The sequence below is a fragment of the Homo sapiens genome, chromosome 12, assembly GCF_000001405.40.
Source record: "Homo sapiens chromosome 12, GRCh38.p14 Primary Assembly".
NCBI lineage: Eukaryota > Metazoa > Chordata > Mammalia > Primates > Hominidae > Homo > Homo sapiens.
In genome coordinates this window covers 1,746,131-1,764,686 of record NC_000012.12, presented here as the reverse complement: position 1 = coordinate 1,764,686, position 18,556 = coordinate 1,746,131, and the positions used below count along the sequence as shown (strand labels likewise).

The window sequence follows — 18,556 nt, the reverse complement described above, 5'->3', positions numbered from 1 at the left end:
ATGAGGAGGTAATAAAGAGACCTCCAGGAGTGCTGGTTATACAGGAGTGTCTAGTTTATAAAAGTTTATCAGACTATCCACTTACAATATATCTACGTGTGTGTGTGTGTGTGTGTGTGTGTGTGTGTTTAATACTTTAATAAGGTTTTTGTTGTTTTTCTTTGAAGGGTCCTCTTACACAGAAGTTTGAAAAATAATGATACAGAAGAGATCAGGGATACAAATTTAGGTCACTCTGAGTACAAAACCCTGCTTTTTTCCTTTTACCAAACTATTTCCTTCAAAATTATTTACTAGTCCACAGAAATGGCTTCACTAAATAAAACCAGGCACGATAAAAGTGATCAAAGAAGGCATTAAACAGGGCTGCTTAAGCAAAGATACCTAACTGGATTGATTTATGAAAAAAGTAAACTATGACCCTCACTCATTTTTTATCCCATTACAAAAAAGTATTAATATAGTGTCGGGGACCACAGAAATTTTGAGGATAAGAAAATCTTAGATGTTTATCACCCAGTTAAACATCTCCATTTTAATGTAAGGAAAATGAAACCCAAAGAAATCAAGAAAATTGGCCAAAGTCACACATCTGGCTGGCAGTACAGCCAGGACTAAAACTCAGGTTTAATCATTCATTTCTTTACTTAAATATTGCACAAATACAATATTCTTGGAATATACATTATATGTGTAATTTTTTGTTTTGAGCCAGGGTCTTACTCTGTTGCCAAGGCTGGAGTGCAGTGGCACAATCATGGCTCACTGCAGCCTCGAATTCCTGGGCTCAAGTGATTCTCCCATCTCAGCCTCCCAAGTAGCTGGGACTACAGGTACATGCCACCAGGCCCGGATAATTTTTGTATTCTTTGCAGAGATAAGGTTTCGCTATGTTGTCCAGGCTGGTCTCAAACTCCCGGGCTCAAGCGATCTGCCCGCCTCAGCCTCTCAAAGTTGTTAGGATTACAGGCATGAGCCACCAGGTCCAGCCATTCCTGGACTATTTTGGATGCAGAGAATAAACATGTTCAAGTGAGTGGAGACAGATAACCACCAATCTATTTTTTATAAGATAAATACAAATCTAATAAAAACAAAAAGAAATAAAGAAAGATTAACTTTGTCCTTTTGATATAACAGAGGAAGTCTTTTCTTTTTGACACAAATATACACCTCCAATGATATGCTACATCTAACATTTATTAAGTGCTTTCTCTGTACCAGGCAGTGTTACCACTGCTTTACATGCACTAAGTTATTATCATTACAACCCTGTGAGACAAGAGGCATACTATTACATACTGCATTTACAAAAGAAGAAACACCCACCTCCTCTAGGCCCAGCTTTACCCTGATGTAATTCCTACCGGTCTGGAACTTCCGTATATGCATTATGAAAAGAAAACTGTGATCACTGGCTCTCCATCATTAAGTGTGCCTCACAATCACATAGGGGAACTTGTGAAAAATACAGATTCCTACTGCAGAGATTTCAATTTTAAAGTATTTAGTTTCTAATACTCTTTCTAAAAATCCATCCTGCTTCATAAGGAACCAAAGAGACTAACCTCTCCAACACCTCAAATAAGGAAGGGATTCCTATGCACAGGTAAACGTAATCTAACTGTACACACAGGTATTTTATTTAATGTTACTTGAGAGCCAATTCCACAACTACAATGGATCACTATCACCTATCACAGGGTCTCTTTTTCCACAATTCTTATCATCTATGGAAATAATGTATTTTAAAATGTATTAAAGGCAAATAACCATTGAAATTGCCATATCGCACTTTTTACAATAAACCAATGAAAAGAAAACCCTGCCCCTTTGAAGAGAAAAAGTATATCATCCCCATGACAAGAGTCCCAGTGTACAATACACATACATTCACATGAAACCTCAGTTTCCTCATCTGTAAAACAGATTCTAATAATATCTATTCTAAAAGGCTACTTTAGGAACGAATAACATATTCAAATGAGCTCAAAAAATTACTTCATCCATTGTAAAAGATCAATAAAAGTGAACTATCATTATTCTCCTGATAAGAATGCATTTATTCTAAGATTAAAGAAGTAGATTAGTTAAGCTTCCCTAAGCATCTAAATAGTATACGTCCCCACGTGCTCCTTTTGTACATCTCTTTAAAGAAACTACTTGAAACCACTTAGACACAGAACTTTATATTTGTTGCTGATAAATTCATTCAACAACTATTTGTTATATGCCACTCAAAGACCAGGTTAGACTCTGAGGATATCAGAGGAAAACAAAAAGGCAAGATTCTTACACCATGGAACTGAAGAGTCTACAAGCAAAAACAATTATTAAACAATTATAAATTTTTATAAAATATGTTTTATATATATGTTTATAAACATAAATATATGTCACACAAATATATGTCATGATACGCATTGTAATGGAAAATAAAAGGTAATTAAAGATAACAATGGGAAACTTGAAATAGAATGAAGTGGAAGTAGAGAACTTAACCTGAATACTGAAGGATGAGCAGCAGTTAGCCAGAGGTGTGGGTGTAACAACACTCCAGGCAGAGGAAAGAGCCATGTTTGAAGGCTCTGAAGCTGGAAAGAGCCCAGCCTGTTTAAGAAACTGAAATAAGGCCAATGCGGCTGCAGCTCAATGAACATGGAGAAGAATGTCCTGAAATGAAGTTGGCCAGATAGGGCAGCAGTGAGATCACGCAGGATCCCGAAGGTTATAGAAAGAATTTGGGATTGTACCATAAGTGCAATGGGAAACAAATGAATTTCTTAAATGGGAATGGCATAATAAACTTTATATTTTTAAGAGCTCTCTCTAGGAACTGTGCGAAGAATATATTGGACAGCACAAGAAACAAAACAGAAGTCCTGTCAGGTGTATTCCAGATGGAAGATGGTGGTGGCTTAGATTAAAGTAATGGCAGAACAGATGATGAGGAGACCATTTGAAGTGAAATTGACACAACTTGAGTTTTATAGTAAGTTTGAATTTAGCTTCTATTTCCAAATTCCTCAAAGAGGTTAATACTTAAAATCCTGAGCTAAAGTTAACCTAGGCAGGTCTCTTCATAAAAGCTCAAGAGCTAACTGACTATGATGAAATATCGTTTCACACCCACTAGGATAGTTATATTCAAAATATAGTAACAATAGTTAGTGTGGGTGTGGAGAAAGTGGAACCCCCACACATTGTTGGTGGGAATATAAACTGGTGCAGCTGCTATGAAAAACAGTCTGGTAGTTTCTCAAAATGTTAAACACAGAGTTAACATATAACCCAGAAAAATCCCTCCTGAGTATATACCCAACAGAAATGAAAACACATCCATACAAAAGCTTCTACATGAATGATAATAGCAACATTATTTGCAACAGTCGAAAAGTGGAAACAATCCAGTGTCCATCAACTCATTATTGGATAAACTATAGTACAGTAGTTTCCCCCCATCCACAGGAAATATGTTCTAAGACCCCTAGTGGATGCCTGAAATCATGGATACTGCTGGACCCTATATATGCTGTGTTTTTTCCTATATATACATACCTATAACATAGTTTAATTTATAAATTAGGTACAGTAAGAGATTAACAACCAATAATAAAATAGAACAATTATAACAATATACTGTAAAAAAAAGTTATGTGAATATGCTCTCTCTCTCACTCAAAATATCTTAGTGTATTGCACTCACGCTTCTTGTGATCTGTGACCTTATAACCAGAAGGCTACTAAGTAACTAAGTAGCCAGCCATCTGCAGCATGGATATGCTGGACAAAGGGATGATTCATTTCCTGGGTAAGGCAGGACAGGGCAAGGAAGGTGAGAGATTTCATCACACCACTCAGATCAGCACAAAGTTTAAAACTTAGAAATTATTTCTGGAATTTTCCATTTAATATTTTCAGATCTCAGTTGACCCATGGGTAACTGAAACCACAGAATGTGAAACCACAAATAAGAAAGAACCCCTGTATATCCATACAATGGAATATTATTCAGTCATAAAGAGGAATGAAGTACTGGTACATACTACAATATTGATGAAACTTAAAAACATTATGCTAAGTAAAAGAAGCTAGATACAAAACACCACATGCCTTACACTTCCATTTATTTAAAAGTCCAGATTAGACAAAGCCATAGAGACAGAAAGTAGACTAGAGGTTGCCTAGGGTTGGGGGTAGAGATGGGAAGTGATGGCAAATGGGTTAAGGTTTCTTTAGGGGATGATAAAAATGTCCTAAAGTTAGAATGAAGTGATGGTTGTACAACCCTGTGACTAATAAAACCATTAAATTGTACACTTTAAATGGGTTAATTTTATGGTATGTAAAATTTATCTCAAAAAAAAATGTTTTAAGAGTCAACTGTGAGTAAATGTGATATTTTCCTTTAACAAACAGTAAATAAATCTAACTTTATTTCCCTAACAATCTTCAGAGAATGTGTTAAGATTTCTTTGCAAAGCATGTTGCTAAGAAGTTTTTAATACATTAACTATTTTAAATAAAATACTTATTTAAAATAAATAAATATCAAAAAAAATTAGGCACTGGTTTGGGTTTTGTTTATTTGTTTTCCTTAACTATCTCCTACGGGAAGGAGGTTGTTTTTTTTGTTTTGTTTTGTTTGTTTTGTTTTCCCCGAGACAGAGTCTTACTCTGTCACCCAGGCTGGAGTGCAGCGGTGCAATCTCGGTTCACTGCAACCTCCACCTCCTGGGTTCAAGCGATTCTCCTACCTCAGCCTCCCAAAGTAGCCGGGATTATAGGTGCCTGCCACCACACCCAGCTAATTTTTGTATTTTTCGTAGAGACGGGGTTTCAGCATGATGGACACGCTGGTCTCAAACTCCTGACCTCATGATCTGTCTGCCTCGGCCTCCCAAAGTGCTGACATTACAGGTGTGAGCCACTGCGCCTGGCCAGGAAGGAGGTTTTTAAACAGTAGTGAGCATCTTACTTGTGAAACAAAAAAAATATACCCAGGACCCAAAGATTCTGATTCAGCAGGCCTGGAATAAAATCCTGGCATTTGTAGTTTTCTATAAAGGGCAATATGTGATCAGGTGGGCACTCCTAATAGGTTTATTGATTTAAAGAAACCTGGCGGTAAATAAAGACTTGTACAAAAAGATACCACAGTCTGTAATGCACATAATTACCTTAAATCTTACTTTATAAATTCAGAATTCCACTTAATAAAAAACGAGACACCCCTGCTGCTTTTCCTATTTTACTTTGATCCTTATTCATGATTGGCATGTGAATGCCAATCTCCACAACTTAAGAGAGCCTAAGGGCTCCCATAATGTTTTAAATGAAGCCTAAGCAATTTAGTTAAGATCTGCATCTTCTAAAAGAGGGAAAAAAACAAAGAAAATGATGCAAAATTGTTAGAAATGTGAATGACTGTACTATGATATATTCGTTCTATTTGCTTTCAAAATAAACAGAAAACCCATTACAAAGTTAGAACACATCTGAGAAGCAAAATTACCCTGGCCTAACAGAAAACGAGGTCTGCAACAACTTCTGCCAAAAAACAAGACCAACTGTTGAATCTAACCTCTAGGTCAATATAAACAACTCAGGGACTGAGTTTGGAATTCAGAAACATTAAGTCAATCTGGTGCCAATTCTCATAAAGGCAGCTTTGTTCGGCAGAAAGAGCAGTCAGAAGACTTAGCACATGCTCTCATCTTGTCATGTTACCTTGGGCAAATTCCTAAACTAACCTTTCTAAATCCTATTTTCGTCTACTTTCAAAAAGAAATCATATCTGCTCTATTTCAGAGTATAGTTTTGAGAAGCAAATGAGATAATGTCTGTGAAAGTGACACAATTAAGATATTACTAGAATTATCCAGAAGGTTGCAGTCTACAGTTCAGATGTTTCAACTTCAAAACTGAAAATTTTAAGAAATGAGTCCTTTCTCCAAACAACAAAAAAAATCAGCATATGGAACTCCTCAAATCATGTGAAGATATCAATATTTTGCCTTTAATTTCAGTCTCAAAACTGCAGTTCTCTATAACTCTTATCTATCCCCCTTCTTTTCTAGCTCCCATGTGTAGTATACATTAACCGTGAAATTGGCAGCAAGGGACAGTACTGCATATAGATTCTCTTTTTCAGCAAACAACTTCAACTCCAAAGAGAAACAACATACACACGCAAATTTTCATTAGGAATAAAAACACAATTTCCTCACTGGTAAATTGAGGAAGGCAAACAAGATGATTTTGGAAGGCCTTTTCAGCTCTAACATTCCACAACCTATGGATCCTTTCTTTCCTTGGCTCCTCATAGAAAAATCTATTAAAACAAATGAAAGAAAAAATGGTTCTTTTGTTCATACTGCTAACTTTTGCATTAGCTCAAGATAAAAGGAAAATCAAAGAGAGGCTTTCAGGGCAATAAATGAGTTCATTCATAAGGATGGGAAAAATCCCATCCACCTAATTATTTATTAGTGAAATTAAAACACAAATATTATTTACAGAAGATACCACTTCAACCAGTGAAGACAGGAAACAAAAATATATAGTATTACAACACATAAAAAAATCAATTAATGTAAATCTGACACAAAAGTGATTGGGTGGGCAAGTTCTGGACTCTAAAAATATATTTTGCTTTCCCTGCCTAACGCAGCCATGGCGCGTGGTCCCAAGAAGCATCTGAAGTGGGCAGCAGCTCCAAAGCATTGGATGCTGGATAAATTGACCGGTGTGTTTGCTCCTCGTCCATCCACTAGTCCCCACAAGTTGAGAGAGTGTCTCCCCATCATATTCCTAAGGAACAGACTTAAGTAAGCCCTGACAGGAGATGAAGTAAAGAAGATTACATGCAGAGGTTCATTAAGATCGATGGCAAGGTCCGAACTCATATAACCTACCCTGCTGGATTCATGGATGTCATCAGCATTGACAAGACGGGGGAGAATTTCCGTCTCATCTATGACACCAAGGGTCGCTTTGCTGTACATCCTATTACACCTGAGGAGGCCAAATACAAAGTGAGAAAAATCTCTGGGGGCACAAAAGGAATCCCTCATCTGGTGACTCATGATGCCCGGCACCATCCGCTACCCTGATTCCCTCATCAAGGTGAATGATACCATTCAGACAGATTTGGAGATTGGCAAGATTACCAATTTCATCAAGTTTGACAATGGTAACCTATGCATGGTGACTGTAGGTGCTAACCTGGGAAGAACTGGTGTGATAACCAACAGAGAGAGGCACTCTGGATCTTTTGATGTGGTTCACATGAAAGATGCCAATGGAAACAGCTTTGCCACTCAACTTTCCAACATTTTTGTTATTGGCAAGGGCAACAAACCACAGACTTCTCTTCCCTGAGGAAAAGGGTATCTGCCTCACCATTGCTGAAAAGAAAGACAAAAGACTGGCGACCAAACAGAGCAGTGGGTGAAATGGTCCCTGGGTGACATGTTAGATCTTTGTACGTAATTAAAAATAATGTAGCATGATAAACAGAATTTTATTGCCATTATGAATCTCAAATTGGCTAGCCTGAAATTCTTTCAAGCTTGAAAATTCCTTAGATTCCTTAATAACAGTTCAGTTTTAAAAATAGTTAAGAAACAGAGGTAAATAAAAATCTAATCGTGACACAGTTACTGACTCCTCAATATATCTTCTAAGATATCTAACAAGAATCTTGAATCTCACATTTCCAAAACACCACTCTTGATTTCCCTACCTTAAACCCGCTCTTCCCTCTTGCTTTACCATTTCAGTTCAGCTCAGAGAATCAGCCTTGATTCCTCTATTTTCCTCACTCTACAGCTAATCCATCAGGAAGTCTTGTTGATTTGACCCACAAAATATATCCAGAATCCAACCATTTCCCTCCATTTCTGCTGCTCCCACCATGCTGTTTCAAGTGACATCATCTCTCATCTATATTCTAACACCTGGGTCCCTCTTCCATTCTGTCTTCAAATAATCCATTCCACAACCAGAGTCATACTTTTAAAAACACAAATGTCTCCATGTTTAAACACCCCAAAAGCTGCCCACGTGCCAGGCAATTTTATTAAAATAAAATTTAAATTCCCTGAATAAACCTGTATAATCTGTTCTCTGACTGGCCCACTGACCTTATCTCATTTCACTCTTCCCTCTAGTTCCTCATGCTCTAACTACACTGGCCTTCTTTTGGTCCTTTAAAAAAAAAAAAAAAAAAAGAAGGCCAGGCACAGTGGCTCACGCTTGTAATCTCAGCAATTTGCGGGGCCAAGGTGGCGGATCACTTGAAGTCAGGAGTTTAAGACCAGCCTGGCCAACATGGTGAAACCCCGTCTCTACTAAAAATACAAAAATTAGCCGGATGTGGTTGCGCAGGCCTGTAGTCCCAGCTACTCGGAAGGCTGAGACAGGAGAATCACTTGAACCTGGGAGGCGGAGGTTGCAGTGAGCCGAGATGGTGCCACTGCACTCCAGCCTGGGCAACAGAGCGAGACTCTATCTCAAAAAAAATATAATTATAATAATAAAATAAAGGAGAAGATGAAAGAAGAGAAAGATGATACAAGCAGGCGCAGGTGGTGGTGGGAGGCAGGAGGGGAAGGCAAGGAAGATAAGCATATTCCCACCTTTGGACCTTGGCACTAGCTTGTTTCCTCTACCTTGAAACACTCTTCCCCCAGCTGCTGTTCCCAGTAGAAGCTTTCAAAATGTTAACCACAACCCGTAGTAAGAAATGTATTTCATATTATTATTCATATTTATATACATAACTATATAAAACTAAAACAATTTAAATGTGTATTACTTACTATATACACACTTCAATGTTTTTATTCTATTTTGATCTTTAATTTTTAACACTTTATAATACAATTAATTTCAAAACCCACTAATAGGTACAACCCAAAGTTTGAGAAACACTGTACTAGTAATAAAACATTAAACACATGCTATATAATTTGGAAGTTCCAAAGCACATAGCAAAATGTCTGTAACAATGACTTTCTGATACTTCTGCTCTATAGGTATAGTTGCCTAAAGGTTGCTCTTTTCTCTAGGAAATGAAAGAATAAAATCTGCTTCAGCTTTCAGAACTCTACTGACTCCCAAGGTATACACTGGAGGTAAACAATTTCTGGAAAAGTAGCTCTAACACGCAATTCGAATTTCTCCAAAAATAACAGATAACGTCATAGCTAAAGTATGGTTAAATTAGATTATATGGTACCCATAGACCACGTCTTCTCCCTTCAACAAGATAAAGCAGGTTAAGTACGCTTTTAAGAGTCAGCAGAGGCCGGGCGCAGTCGTTCACGTCTATAATCCCAGCACTCTGGGAGGTTGAGGCAGGTGGATAAGGAGGTTGAGATGGAGACCATCCTGGCCAACATGGTGAAACTCCATCTCTACTAAAAATACAAAAAGTAGCCAGGCGTGGTGGCAGGTGCCTGTAATCCCAGCTACTCGGGAGGCTGAGGCAGGATAATCACTTGAACCTGGAAGGTAGAGGTTGCAGTGAGCTGAGATCGCACCACTGCACTCCAGCCTGGCGACAGAACAAGACTCCGTCTCCGAAATTAAAAAAAAAAGAGTCAGCAGAAAGACATTAACCATAAAATCAAAATCAAATAATATCTAAGCTAATTTAAGAATAAGAAGCTGGGCACGATGACTCATGCCTGTAATCCCAGCACTTTGGGAGGCCGAGGTGGGAGGATACCTGAGGTAAGGAGTTCGAGACCAGCCTGGCCAACATGGCAAAACCTCATCTCTGCTAAAGCTACAAAAATTAGCCTGGCATGGTGGCATGTACCTGTAGTCGAGGCAGGAGAATCGCTTGAACCCAGGAGGCGGAGGTTGCAGCGAGCCGAGATCATGCTACTGCACTCCGCCTGGGTGACAGAGCGAGACTCCGTCTCAATAGTAGTAGTAGTAGTAGTAGTAGTAGTAGTAGTAGTAGTAGTAGTAGTAATAATAATAATAAAGATAAGAGACTTCAAGTTATCCAGAAGAAAAAAATACAAATGTGCAAGTTTCCTTCTTACCACCCCATCCTCCCTCCAGCAATGGACCCCCACTTTTTTTTCCCCATATCCTCCCTCTGCCACTTCCTCCACATTTTTTCCTTTGTTTATCATTCTTCCAATTTGACTTACTTTTTTATGATGGGAAGATAGAACAGATGCCTCTAAAATGGGCTCCAAATCTCCTTGGTGGCTGTCATTATCACCTCTTCGTGTACCATCCAGTTGGTGCCCTTTTCTGAGCCTTATATCTGGCTCTGGAGTCCTGCTGCACCCCAATCGGTTTTCTGTTGGCTCGTTCATGGGATACCCAAGCCTTTCTTACAAATAGATCTGTCTTTCTGTCCCCTCTTCTTGGGAGAATGGACCTTCAGGATAGTGAGTTGATCCTAAGAAGATGAAAGTTTTGAAAAAATGCATTAAAGGAGTGCTGGGGAAAATATCAGTTATATTATCACATATCCAAACGACAGAATACTCAGCAATCAATAATAAAAGAATAATGTACTTAAAAGCTATATTTGTTGACAGGGAATATAGCCAAAAATCTCTTTTTAAATGAAAAACACAGGATACAAGACAACATGAATAATATGTTCCCACTTATATGTTATAAAAATATGTAAGTATATGTAAGTGCATATGTTCTAGAATAATTAATGAAAAATATTTAAAACCATACTCTTGGTACAGAAGAACATATGGAAGAACCTCGGGTCTGAAGTGAGAAGAATACTTACTTTGTTCTGCCTGCATTTTTTTTAACCATGTATCATATTACTTGTTTAATTTAAAAAATAGTATACAATTAGAAATTAGAATTCTAAATACTAATTGTATGTATTAGAAAGAATATATGTAAGTTTATATATTATAACTGGGCTTTACATATCCAATCTCATTTAAACATCACAATGACCCCACAGGGTATTTTTATTTCTAGTTCACAGGTAAAGGAAAACAAAATTCACCATACTTTATAAAAAATAAACAGGACAAAGTCTTCAAATTTATAAGCACATATTATCCATAATATTTTGTATTCAAAAGGCTTAATGTCTTACATTTCAACTTTTTTGAGTTATTCTGAACTCTAACTAGACTACCCTGGAAGGAAGAAACTCAGGACCAAAGCATACACGTTTTACATCCATCTGGGTTCCCAGAAAGTGCTACGCACACAAATGTTTAATGAATATTTGATAATATCTCAATGCTCTTGAGTGCTAAGAACATTTTCAGAAATCATTAATTTCTCTCTAAACTGGACTGCAGCAAGTAAGTCCTAGGAGTTCAAGCTTTTCAAGTCCTTGGCACTATACCTCTTAACTCATGATATGTAAGCTTATTTTAGACAATTAGTTGAATATCCAATAAGGATTATCACAGTCAATCCAACCAGAAATACCAAAACAGGAAGAGACCAGGGTATATGCTAGCTAATAAATTCCATGAGGTTCAAGGTTCTTAGTGGGGAAAGGAGTAGGGCAAAGTAGGAGAACCCAGATACCATAAAAAGAAGGTAACAGGTGGATTTAGTTTCATATATGTGGATACATAGACTAAGAATTAGTCAAAGAAACAGAGTAAGAATTAGTCAACTGTTGGTTTCATAAATCATGTGAATTTGCTGTAGGATTTCTCCAAGGGCTTTCGAAGTATGTAGGGCAAGAAGAAACAAAAATCTAAAGAATACCAAACCTGGGCATGTACCTGGGCCAAGCACATGATACTATTGAGATTATAAATTATGTTATTAATGCCCATTTCTGAAAGAGGAAACAGAATAATGGCTTCTATTTAATTATATTATTTAAAGCTCACAAAGCTATTCACACACACCATTTCATTTTGTTTCAGGGGAGAGGCAGCAAACATTTACTGAGAATCAACAAAGGTAAATTCTGTACCAGATAATTTACATGTGGTACTTCACAGCATCTTTAAATATAGCCTTCTGAGGTATTATTATCCTCCATTTTGAGGATTAGAGTTTGGATAACTTATTCAAGGTCATTAGGATTCAAAGAGAAGCAGCTGTGTTATACCCAGTTTCTGAACCTCATGAAGTTCATGTGCTTTCCACTGTGCAACAAAATTAAGACTGGGGTGAGTAAAAGATAAGAAAATGAACCCTAAATGTAGTTGGTTTATATCACAAGAAAACTACAGAGTCAGGATCTTGATGCTGAAGCTGTAGCAAGTAGAATAAAGCTTTGTAAAGTGTTCTTGAAATATCACCACACTAGGCTAGGCACAGTGGCTCATGCCTGTAATCCCAGCACTTAGGGAGGCCAAGGTGAGAGGATTACTTGAGCCTGGGAGGGGGAGTTTGCAGTGAGCCAAGATCACGCCACTGCACTCCAGCCTGGGCAACAGAGTGAGACATTATCTTAAAAAAAAAAAAAAAAAAAAAGAGGCCAGGAGCAGTGGCTCACGCCTGTAATCCCAGCACTTTGGGGGGCCGAGACGGGCAGATCACAAGGTCAGAAGATCTAGACCATCCTGGCCAACATGGTGAAACCCTCTACTAAAAATACAAAAAATTAGTCTCTACTAAAAATACAAAAAATTAGCTGGGTGTGGTGGCGCATGCCTGTAATCCCAGCTACTTAGGAGGCTGAGGCAGGAGAATTGCTCGAACCCGGGAGGCAGAGGCTGCAGTGAGCCGAGATCATGCCACTGCACTCCAGCCTGGCAACTCCATCTCAAAAAAAAAAAAGAAAGAAAGAAAAGAAAAGAAAAATATCAGCACACCAAACTTTTCATCAGCAGGAGCTATATATGGAGGAATGTTGCTCATTTATGAGACTATAAACGCACGCTCAGGCGGGCACAGTGGCTCACACCTGTAATCCCAGCACTTTGGATAGCTGTGGCAGGAGGATCACTTGAGCCCAGCAGTTCGAAACCAGCTTGGGCAACAAAGTGAGACCCACCTCTACAAAAAAAAAAATTTTTTTAATTAGCCGGGTGTGGTGGCACGTGGCTCATGGCTGTAGTACTAGCTACTCAAGAGGCTGAAGTGGGAGGATCACTTAAGCCCAGGAGTTCGAGGTTGCACTGAGCTCTGATGGCATTACTACACTCCAGCCTGAGTAACAAAGCAAAGACCCCATCTCGTAATAAAAAAGAAAAACTGAAAAGCTCCATTAGTTAGAATTGTTTTGTAATCCTCATCTCAGAAGAAGAAATCAAATGACAACAAATAAGAGTTCCCCAATAATTTTTAAGGATCCTCCTTAAAATAAAAAGAAGAAAATCAACTCTCCAGTAAAGTCCTGAGATCAATATACATTCCTATCAATACTGTTTTCTAAATTGACAAGTATGATAAAATAAGAATGAAGAAAATAAAGTGCTGCAAAATCTACAAAGAAATCAAATATTGGCCACTCTACAGAAAGCAGGAAGGCCTATAATATTGACTTTCAACAGTAGAACTGTTGAAGTAAAAGTATTTATGTCAACCTTCAGGTTCCCATAAATTTAACAAAACAGAACACCCCAATACTAGAACACACTAGAGAACTGAAATTTACTATATGTTTTACTCTATTTGCATTCTACCTACTGAAATAAAATGAACTCCTACTAGCATGCAATGCCTTGAAGAAAAAAAAAAAAAGCAAACAAGTCTAAGAGTCTAAAGCCAGAAAATGGTATTACCAGCATTATTTAACTCTATCTTGGAAGTCTTAGATAATTAAATGAGGGAAAAAAATGAGTATAAAAATTGGGGGAAAAAAAGGTAAACTGTAACTATTTGCAGATTATATGACTCTTTTATCTATAAAATCCAGGAGAATCAACTAAAGAAAAAATTATAAATAAGAAAAATCATCAATGTGATGGGGCATAAAATTGATATATGGATTTCAACAGCCTTCATCCTAAAACCCCACAATATTTGGTCATTATGAAATAAGAATACATCACAATAGAAAAAAGATAAAACACTTCAAAACAAATCTTAAAATGTTACTGAGGATCTACAAAAAAAAATTCTAGAAATAATGAGTTCAGGAAGAATTCAAGATCAACACTCAAATATCAATCACTTCTCTTTTCTTTCTAGAGACACAGGGTCTCACTCTGTTGCCCAGGCTGGAGTGCAATGGTGCAATCATACCTCACTGTAACCTTGAACTCCTGGGCTCAACGGATCCTCCTGCCCTCCACCTGCCAAGTACCTAGGATTACAGGTGCACACCACCATACCTGGCCTTTTTTTTTTTTTTTTAATTTCTTGTAGTGATGGAGTCTCGCTATGTTGCCCAGGCTGGTCTTGAACTCCTGAACTCAAGTGATCCTCTCACGTTGGCCTCCCAAAGTGCTGGGATTAAAGGTATAAGCCACTGTGCCCAGCCATCATTTACTTTTCTATATATTAACAATAAACACGCAGAAACTGAAATTTTTAACAATACCATTTACAACTGCTCCATAGAAAATTAAATACTTTAAGTATACGCTTAGCAAAATACGTATAGGCCCTATATGCTAAAAATTCCAAAATGCTGATGAAATAAATCAGAAATCTAAACAAATACAAGAGACTGAGGCAAGAGGATCACTTCAAGACCAGGAGTTTGAGACCAGCCTGGGCAACAAGACCATGTCACTAAAAAAAAATTAAAAGTTAGCTGAGTTTAGTGGCATGCACCTGTGTAGTCTAGGTACTGAAGAGAATGTGGTGAGAGAACTGCTTGAGTCCAGGAGTTTGAGGCTGCAGTGAACTATGATGACACCACTGCACTCCAGCCTGGACAACAGCATGAGACCCCATTTCTCAAAAAAAAAAAAAAAAAAAACTAAACAAATAGCAATATGTTATACTATGTTCTCAGCAATATACTGACTCAGTAAAGATGTCAATTCTGTCCAAATTGTTCTATAGGTTAATACAATTCCTATCAAGATCCCAGCAAGGATTTCTGTAGATAAAAACTCATTATAAAACTTACATGGAAGGCAAAGCTCCAAAATAGCTAAAACAATCGAAAAAGACCTCACTGAAGGCCAACTACATAGCTAGTCAAGACTGTGTTGGTATGAGCAAAAGAATACACACATAGAGTAACAGAACAGAACAGAGAACCCAGAAATGACCCACACAAGTATGCCTGTTATTTTATTGTGGTGCTATGATATCTATTGGTCTTCTTCCATGGTTCCTGGCCTTAACTCCCATAGCCTTTATTCCAGTCTTTCATTATAATGTTGGAAGTGTTAGGCCTCAGAGGCAGGCCTCTTTCTCCTGCCTGCTTTCCACACTTAATGTTCCCCTGACTTTTTGATTGCGGGTCTTAAGACTCTCTCATGTAGGGTCCCATCTATGCCCTTGGGGTAGGAATGTTGATGTCATGAAGCTTCCATAAAAACCCAAGAGGACAGGGTTCAGTGAACTTCAAGACAGCTGAACACACAGAGGTTCCTGGTGGGTGGAGCATCCAGGGAGGACATGAAAGTTTCACACCCCTTCCCCCATACGTAGCCCTGCACGTCCCTTCATCTGTAACCTTTGCAATATTCTTTATAATAAACTAGTAAGCGTAAATAAGTGTTTCCCTGAGTTCTGTGCGCCAGTCCAGCAAATTAATGAACCCAAAGAGGGGGCCATGGGAGCCCCAACTTGAAGCTGGTTGGTCAGAAGTTCTGGAGGCCCCGACTTATGACTGGTGTGTGTGTTAGGGGAGTAGTCTTAGGTACGGAGCCCTCAACCTGTGGGATCTGACACCAATGACCCGGAGATAGTGTCGAACTGAATTAGAGGACACTCAGGCTGCTGTCTGCTGCTTGGTGTGTGGGGAAAACAACCCCATGTGTGTGATCACAGAAGTCTTCTTCTGTGTTGATTATTGCTGTGGTATGACAGTAGAGGAAAAACACAGTTTGAGGAGAGTTTTTCCCTAAACACGTTTACAAATATCCAAAGCAATTCAATAATGGAAGGATAACCTTTTCAATAAATGGTGCTGAAATAATTGAACATCCATAGACAAAAAACTTAAAAAAAAAACTTCAACCTGTAAATTTAGGTCACACTTCATACAAAAATTAACTCAAAATGGATCATAGACTTAAATGTAAAACGCAGGCCAGGCACGGTGGCTCACGCCTGTAATCCCAGCACTTTGGGAGGCCGAGGTGGGCAGATCACAAGGTCAGGAGATTGAGACCATCCTGGCTAACACGGTGAAACCCCATCTCTAATAAAAATATAAAAAATTAGCCAGGCGTGGTGGCGGGCACCTGTAGTTCCAGCTACTCGGGAGGCTGAGGCAGGAGAATGGCGTGAACCCGGGAGGCGGAGTTTGCAGTGAGCCGAGATCGCGCCACTGCACTCCAGCCTGGGCGACAGAGAGAGACTCCGTCTCTAAAAAAAGAATAAATAAATAATAAAAGTAAAGGAAAGCATAATGACAATATCACCTCAGATAGAGATCAATGAAGAGATGTAAACTACAAAAAAGAACCAAATAAAAATTATGAAGCTGAAAATTACAATAATGGAAATTTAAAAATAAAGGGTGGGGGGGCTCAACAGTAAATTGGAAAATCTTAGAGCTATGTGGGACACCAATAGGCACAGTTTGGTACTCTAAAAGGAGAGGAGAAAAAGTGGTAGAGGGGAAAAAAAATTCAAAGAAATAATGGCTGAAAACTCCACAAATGTACTGAAGACAATAAACCACACATCCAGGAAACTCAATGTATTTTAACTCAGAGAAAGGCAAGGACATCCAGACAGATGCCTCACAGTAAAAATGTTGAAAGTCAAAGTCAAGGAGAAAATCTTAAAAGCAGCAAGAACCAAACGACTCATTATTTTAAAATGGAACCCAGTAAGATTAGCAGCTGACTTCTAAGCAGAAACAATGGCAGACAGAAAACAATGAGATAACATAATCAAAGTGTTCAAATAAAAGAAAAAAAAAACCTGTCAACCAATCTTATATCTAGCAAAACTACATTTCAAAACTGAAGGCGAAACAGACCTTCTCAGATTTTAAAAAGCAATAAAACAGATTTTGTTCCTGGAAGATCCCCCTTAAAAGAAATGCAAAAGCCTGGAAGCAAGTGACCTCAAACAGCAATTCAAATCCACGTACCACCCACCACCGCCCAACAAAAAAGAAAGAGTACCTGTAATTATATAAATGTTTACCTTTTGTCTTAACTGATTTTGAAAAGCCAATTGTATGAAGTGATATATATATTGCAACCCCTAAGTTTTGGTATGCTGTGTTTTTGTCTCGATATTTTCTAATTTACCTTGTGATTTTTGACCCAATGGTTAAGTGTGTTAATTTCCACATATTTGTGAATTTTCCAGTTCTCATTCTCATATTTCCACTTTCATTCCATTGTGATTAGAAAAGGCACTTTGTGTAATTTCAATCTTTTTAAATTTATTAAGACTAATTTTATGGCATAGTATATGGTCTATCCTGAAGAATGTTCTATGTGCACTTGAGAAAAATAGCTACTGAGTGGAGTATACATGCCTATTAGGCCCAACTGGTTTACAGCGGTGTTAAAGTCTTTTATTTCTTTGTTTTGTTTTGTTTTTTTTATTTTTTGGGGGGGGGCAGTGGAGTTAGTGGGGGAGACAAGGTCTTACTCTGTTGCCCAGACTAGAGTGCAAGGACATGATCACAGTTCATTGCAACCTCAAACTCCTGGGTTCAAACAATCTTCCTCTTCCCACCTCAGCCTTCCAAGTAGCTGGGACAACAGGGGTGCAATAACATGCCCAGCTAATTTTTTAATTTTTAGTAGAGACAAGGTCTCACTATTTATCCAAGCTGGTCTCAAACTCCTGAGCTCCAGCAATCCTCCCACTTCAGTCTCGTAAAATGTTAGGATTATAGGCGTGAGCCACCATGCCTATAATTCCACTCTACTTCTAACTAGACTAGATCTGTCTAGTTGTTCTACCCATTATTGAAAGTGGCATATTAAAGTCTCCAGTTATTATTTTAGATCTGTCTGTTGCTCAATGAGGTCAATATTTGCTTCAGGTTATTTGGAGCTCTGATGTTCAGTACATACATGTTTATAATTGTTATATCTTCTTGGTGTATCGACTCTTCTATTTAATGCTCTTCCTTGTCTCTTATAAGAGGGTTTTTTTTGTTTTTTGTTTTTTGTTTTTGAGGCAGTCTTGTTCTGTCGCCCAGGGTGGAGTGCAATGGCTTGATCTCGGCTCACTGCAACCTCCGTCTCCCTGGTTCAAGCAATTCTTCTGCCTCAGCTTCCTGAGTAGCTGGGATTACAGGCACACACCACCATGCCCGGCTAATCTTTGTATTTTTAGTAAAGATGAAGTTTTACCTCAAGTGATCCACACACCTCAGCCTCTCAAAGTGCTGGGATTACAGGCATGAGCCACCACACCCAGCCTCTTAAGTGTTTATAAGAGTTTTTAACTAAAAATCTATCTTGTCTGATATTAGCAAACTGTCCCAGCTCTCTTTTAGTTACTATTTGCATGTGATAACTCTTTCAGT

The 18,556-nt window shown here is 38.2% G+C and overlaps 1 protein-coding gene and 1 pseudogene across 10 annotated transcripts in view; one reads left to right on the top strand and one right to left on the bottom strand.

The window, feature by feature from the left end:
* The window catches only part of ADIPOR2 (adiponectin receptor 2), a 97,605-nt gene that overhangs the window by 23,988 nt on the left and 55,061 nt on the right, over positions 1-18,556 (bottom strand). For all 10 annotated transcript variants that reach the window (XM_011521024.2, NM_001375364.1, NM_001375365.1 and 7 more), the window contains one exon: positions 10,173-10,429. In XM_011521024.2, the coding sequence (XP_011519326.1) occupies positions 10,173-10,343 (171 nt within the window). In that variant the 5' untranslated portion in view covers positions 10,344-10,429. The remainder of the gene's footprint in view (positions 1-10,172; positions 10,430-18,556) is intronic.
* On the top strand, positions 6,655-7,527 carry RPS4XP14 (ribosomal protein S4X pseudogene 14; annotated as a pseudogene).